Consider the following 6,748-nt stretch of genomic DNA (forward strand, 5'->3'; position numbering starts at 1 on the left):
AGCTCCAGCACAGTGTGGATGAATAGGTGGTTTCTATAGGTCCAACACAGTGTGGATGAATAGATGGTTTCTATAGGTCCAACACAGTGTGAATGGATAGATGGTTTCTACAGGTCCAACACAGTGTGGATGAATTCTCTACTCAGGGTCTCACCAGTCTAAAATCAGGGGGCTCTGATTCTCATCTGGAGCTCGAGGTCCTCTTCCAAGCTCACTGATGTTAGCAGAATTCAGTCCCTAGTGGTTGTAGGACTGAAGTCCCCATTTCCTTGTCACAGGGCCACGTTCGCCTTCAAACAGCAATAGCATATGCAATTCTTTTCATGCTTCAAATATCTGGCTCTGATTTCTCCTGCCACATTTCTCTGACTTCCATTTTGGCCTTCCTCTTGTGCCACCAGCCAAAGAAAGTTCTCTGCTTTTAGGGACTCATATGATTAAATTAGACTCAATTAGATAATCCAGGATAATCTCCCCTATTTTAAGGTCCATTGATTGATAACCTTAATTATGTTTCACCCCATGGCATAACACCAGAGTCTGAAAGCCAGGGGCCAACATTCTGCTCACCACACCCTTCCATGCCTGGATTCCTGTGACTCTTAGCCCAGGGAACCCAGGTTGAGCCTTATTTGCTAATAACCATTTCCTTCTTGACTTTCTCCATGAAAACAAGGACAATGTTTGTCTTGTGCATCACTATATCCCTGCACCAACACAATGCCCAGCACATAGTAGATACTCAACAAACACCTTCTGGCTGAATGGCTGACTGATCCTAACAATCATCATCAGTAATCTACCAACTGTCATTTGCTTTTGGTGACTGAGAGAAAAAAAATAATTTACCTCCATACATCAACTTTTGCATCTTCTCCCTTTCCCATAGTAGAATGAACAGATTTATTTCTTCAAAAAAATCAAGCATTGGCAAGAAAGTAAAATTATACGAGTGGCTGGAATACCCTAAATCACTCCTGGTAAATCTTTCTCCATGAGTTAATTCACCAGGTTTTTCTTGAAATGGCTTGCCTGCCTGCATCTGCAGATGGCAAAAAATAAACCCAAAATAAGATGGTGGAGTTAATGCCAATATATTAAGCATCATAATACATGTAAGCAGATTACATTTACCAATTAAAGTATAAAGATTATAAGAATTTTTTAAAGATCAACCTAAAATAAAACCAAAAGAAAGATGAAAAATAAAGGAATCCAAAAAGATATGTCATACAAATATTAGCTCACGCCTGCAATCCCAGCACTTTGGGAGGTCGAGGCAGGCGAATCACGAGGTCAGGAGACCAGCCTGGCCAACATGGTGAAACCTCGTCTCTACTAAAAATACAAAACTAGCCAGGTGTGGTGACACGCACCTGTAATCCCAGCTACACAGGAGGCTGAGACAAGAGAATTACTTGAACCCGGGAGGCGGAGGTTGCAGTGAGCCGAGGTCATGCCACCGCACTCCAGCCCTAGCAACAGAGTGAGACTCCGTCTCAAAAAAAAAAAAAGGAAGAAAAAAAAAGAAAACTAAGCAAGTAATATTAATTGCATCAAAAATGATGTTTAAGTTTTTCTTTTTAAGTTCCAGGGTACATGTGTACTATGTGTAGGTTTGTTACATACGTAAATGTGTGCCATGCTGGTTTGCTGCACCTATCAACCCATCACCTAGGTATTAAGCCCAGCATACATTAGCTATTTTTCTAATGCTCTCCCTCTCCCCGCCCCAACAACAACAGGCCCCAGAGTATGTTGTTTCCCTCCTTGTGTCTGCGTGTTCTCATTGTTTAGCTCCAACTTATAAGTGAGAACATGTGGTGTTTGGTTTTCTGTTCCTGTGTTAGTTTGCTGAATATAATGGCTTCCGGCTCCACCCATGTCCCTGCAAAGGACATGATTTTGTTCCCTTTTATGGCTGCATAGTATTCCATGGTGTATATCTACCACATTTCCTTTATCCAGTGTATCATTGATGGGTATTTGGGTTGATTCCATGTCTTTGCTATTGTGAATAGTGCTGCAGTGAACATACGTGTGCACGTATCTTTATAATAGAATGACTTATATTCCTCTGGGTATATACCCAGCAACGGGATTGCCGGGTCAAATGGTATTTCTGGTTCCAGGTTTTTGAGGAATCGCCACTGCCTTCCACAATGGTTGAACTAATTTACATTCCCACCAACAGTATAAAAAACATTCCTATTTCTCTGCAACCTTGCCAGCATCTATAGTTTCTTGACTTTTTAATAATTGACATTCTGACTAACATAAGATGGTATCTCGTTGTGGTTTTGATTTGCATTTCTCTAATAATCACTGATGTTGAGCATTTTTTCATATGTTTGTCGGCTGCATAAATATCTTCTTTTGAGAAGTGTCTGTTTATGTCATTTGTCCACTTTTTAATGGGTTTTTTCTTATAAATTTGTTTAAATTTCTTGTAGACTCTGGATATTAGACCTTTGTCAGATGGTCAGATTGCAAAAATTTTCTCCCTTTCGATAGGTTGCCTGTTCACTCTGATGATAGTTTCTTTTGCTGTGCAGAAGCTCTTTAGTTTAATTAGATCCCATTTGTCAATTTTTGCTTTGGTCAATTGCTTTTGGTGTTTTTGTTATGAGATCTGTGCCTGTGTCTATGTCCTGAATGGTATTGCCTAGATTTTCTTCTAGGGTTTCTATAGTTTTGGGTTTTACATTTAAATCTTTAGTCCATCTTGAGTTAATTTTTGTATAAGGTGTAAGGAAGTGGTCCAGTTTCAATTTTCTGCATATGGCTAGCCAAGTATCCCAGCAGCATTTAATTAATAGGGAATCCTTTCCCTATTGCTTGTTTTTGTCAGGTTTATCAAAGATCAGATTGTCGTAGATATGCCATCTTATTTCTCAGCTCTCTATTCTTCTGTTCCATTGGCCTATATGTCTGTTTTGGTACCAGTATCATGCTGTTTTTGTTACTGTAGCCTTGTAGTATAGTTTGAAGTCAGGTAGTATGATGCCTCCAGCTTTATTCTTTTTGCTTAGGATTGCCTTGGCTATATAGGCCATTTTTTGATTCCACATGATTTTTTAGATAGTTTTTTTTTAATTCTGTGAAGAATGTCAATGGTAGTTTAATGGGAATAGCATTGAATCTATACATTACTTTAAGCAGTATAGCCATTTTCACGATATTGATTCTTCCTATCCAGGAACATTGAATGTTTTTCCATTTGTTTGCATCCCATCTGATTTCCTTGCGCAGTGGTTTGTAGTTCTCCTTGAAAAGTTTCTTTACTTCCCTGTACTCCTAGGTATTTTATTCTCTTTGTAACGATTATGAATGGGAGTTCATTTATAATTTAGTTCTATGCTTGTCTGTTGTTGGTGTATAGGAATATAGGTGTATATCTTGTGATTTTCGCACATTGATTTTGTATCATTCGACTTTGTTGAAATTGCTTATCAGTTTAAGAAGCTTTGGGGCTGAGACGATGGGGCTTTCTAGATATAGGATTGTGTCATCTGCAAACAAAGACAATTGACTTCCTCTCTTCCTCTTTGAATACCCTTTATTTCTTTCTCTTTCCTGATTGCCCTGGCCAGAACTTCCAATACTATGTTGAATAGGAGTGGTGAGAGAGGGCATCCTTGTCTTGTGCCAGTTTTCAAGGGGAATGCTTCCAGCTGTTGCCCATTCAGTATGATGTTGCCTGTAGTTTGTCATAAATGGCTTATTATTTTGAGGTATGTTGCTTCAATATCTAGTTTACTGAGAGTTTTAAACCTGAACAGATGTTGAATTTTATTGAAGGCCTTTACTGCTTCTATTGAGATAATCATGTGGTTTTTGTCTTTAGTTCTGTTTCTGTGATGAATCATATTAATTGATGTGTATATGTTGAACCAATCTTGCATCCTGAGGATGAAGCCAGCTTGATCATGGTGGATAAGCTTTTTGATGTGCTGGTCGATTCAGTTTGCCAGTATTTTATTGGGGATTTTTGCATTGATATTAATCAGGGATATTGGCCAGAAGTTTTCTTTTTTTGTTGTATCTCCACCAGGTTTTGGTATCAGGATGATGCTGGCCTCATAAAATGAGTTAGGGAGGAGTCCCTCCTTTTCAATTGTTTGAATAGTTTCAGAATAAATCGTATCAGCTCCTCTTTGTATCTCTGGTAGAATTCAGCTATAAATCAATCTGGCCCTGGGCTTTTTTTTGGTAGGTAGGCTATTTATTACTGCCTCAATTTCAGAACTCATTATTGGTCTATTCAGGGATTCAACAACTTCTTGTTTCAGTCTTGGGAGAGTGTATACATCCAGGAATTTATTCATTTCTTCTAGATTTTCTAGATTATTTGCATAGAAGTGTTTATAGTATTCTATGATGGTTGTTTGTATTTCTGTGGGTCAGTGATGATATCCCCTTTATCATTTCTAATTGTGTTTATTTGATTCTTTTCTCTTTTCTTCTTTATTAGTCTAACTACTGGTCTATCTATTTTATTAATTTTTTTCAAAAAACCAGCCCCTGGATTCATTGATTTTTTGAAGGGTTTTCATGTCTTTATCTCCTTCAGTTCTGCTCTGATCTTGGTTATTTCTTGTCCTCTGCTAGCTTTGGGGTTTGTTTGCTCTTCATTCTATAGTTCTTTTAGTTATGATGTCAGGATGTCGATTTGAGATCTTTCTAGTTTTTTGATGTGGGCATTTAGTGCTATAAATTTCCCTCTTAACACTGCTTTAGCTGCATTCCAGATATTCTGATACATTGTCTCTTTGTTCTCATTAGTTTCAAAGAACTTCTTGACTTCTGCCTTAATTTTATTATTTCCCAGGAGTTATTCAGGAGCAGGTTGCTCAATTTCCATGTGGTTGTGCGGTTTTGAGTGAGTTTCTTAATTTTGAGTTCTAATTTGATTGTGCTGTAATCTGAGAGACTGTTTGTTATTATTTCAGTTCTTCTGCATTTTCTGAGGAGTGTTTTACTTCAATTATATGATCAATTTCAGACTAAGTGCCATGTGACACCAAGAAGAATGTATATTATGTTGTTTTTCTGTGGAAAGTTCTGTAGATATCTATCAGGTCCACTTGGTCCAGAGCTGAGTTCATGTCCTGTATATCTTTGTTAATTTTCTGTCTCAATGATCTGTCTAATATTGACAGTGGGGTGTTAAAGTCTCCTACTATTATTGTGTGGGAGTCTAAGTTTCTTTGTAAGTCTCTAAGAATTTGCTTTATGAATCTGGGTGCTCCTGTATTGTGTGCATATATATTTAGGATAGCTAAATGCCCCAATTAAAAGACACAGAATGGTAGGCTGGATAAAGAGTCAAGACCCATCAATGTGCTGTATTCAACAGACCCATCTCATGTGCAAAGATACACACAGGCTCAAAATAAAGGGATGGAGGAAAATTTAGCAAGCAAATGGAAAACAGAAAAAAGCAGAGGTTGCAGTCCTAGTCTCTGACAAAACAGACTTTAAACCAACAAAGATCAAAAAAGACAAAGAAAGACATTCCATAATGGTAAAGGGTTCAATTCAACAAGATGTTTAAGACTAATAGAAACAAAAAGGAGCACAACATAATAATAAAAGGCATATTCAAACAACATCCATATATAGAGGGGGAAAAAAAAGAGAGAAACAGAGACATAAAGAGAATAAGAGCTGCAAATATGCACCCAACGACATGGGCTCTGAGGCAGATTTTGTTTTCCAAACCAGTAAGATGCAGCAGCAGTAATACTAGGAAACTTCCAAGGGGCAAGGTCAGAAGAAACCTTACAACCTCTGCCTTGGTCTCTTGGAATTCTTCCCCTCCAGATACACCCTCTGGGGTGCTCCTTCAGAAGGCAGCTGCCACGTTGTGAGAAGGCCAAGACCTTGGTGAGGGGGGTGGCGTGTGGAGGTGCCCTGGACATCAGATTCAGCCTTTGAATCTCTCCAGGTAAGGTCCTAGACATGCAAGACATGCAAGTGAAGAAGTCTCCAGATGGTTCCAGTGTCCACCCACTAAGAACACCTCTAGCAATTTGCATCTTCCCAACTGAAGCCCCACACACGGTGGAGCAGAAAGAAACCATTTCTGCTGTTCTCTGCTCAAATTCTTGACTCAGAATCCATGAGCGTAACAAAAGTGGTGGTTGTGTTATGCCACACAGATATGCTACCTAGATAACCAGAACAGACTTAAGAAATAAAATGAAAACCAACTACATAGGCTCAATAAGCATAAAAAGTTATGAAATTGCAAACAAAGTTAAAGAATCTACAATCACACCTGGAAATGTTAACACAGCTCTATCAAAAACAATAGATCGAGCAAATTAAAATATTATAAGAATAAAGAAAAACAAAATTAGCAAGTTGATCTAATCAATATAAAGAAGGATTTTGAACCCACAAAATAAATAATACATATTTTTTCACAGATTTAAATGCAACATTTCCTTTAAAAATTTTTTTTAACTTGGCATTGACCTTATATTAGATAACAAAGGAAGTCTCAAGTAATTTCAAAATCAATGCAATGAATTGATTTAAATAAATGATTATTTATAATTTATATTGTATTTATATATAATATATTATATATAATTATATATTATATTATATAATATAATATATAATTATATATTATATATTATATAATTATATAATATAATATATAATTATATATTATATAATTGATATTATATAATTTGTATTATAATTTATATTGTATTTATATTATAATTTATTTATA

Source organism: Homo sapiens, chromosome 3 (genome assembly GCF_000001405.40).
Source record: "Homo sapiens chromosome 3, GRCh38.p14 Primary Assembly".
Classification (NCBI taxonomy): Eukaryota; Metazoa; Chordata; class Mammalia; order Primates; family Hominidae; genus Homo; species Homo sapiens.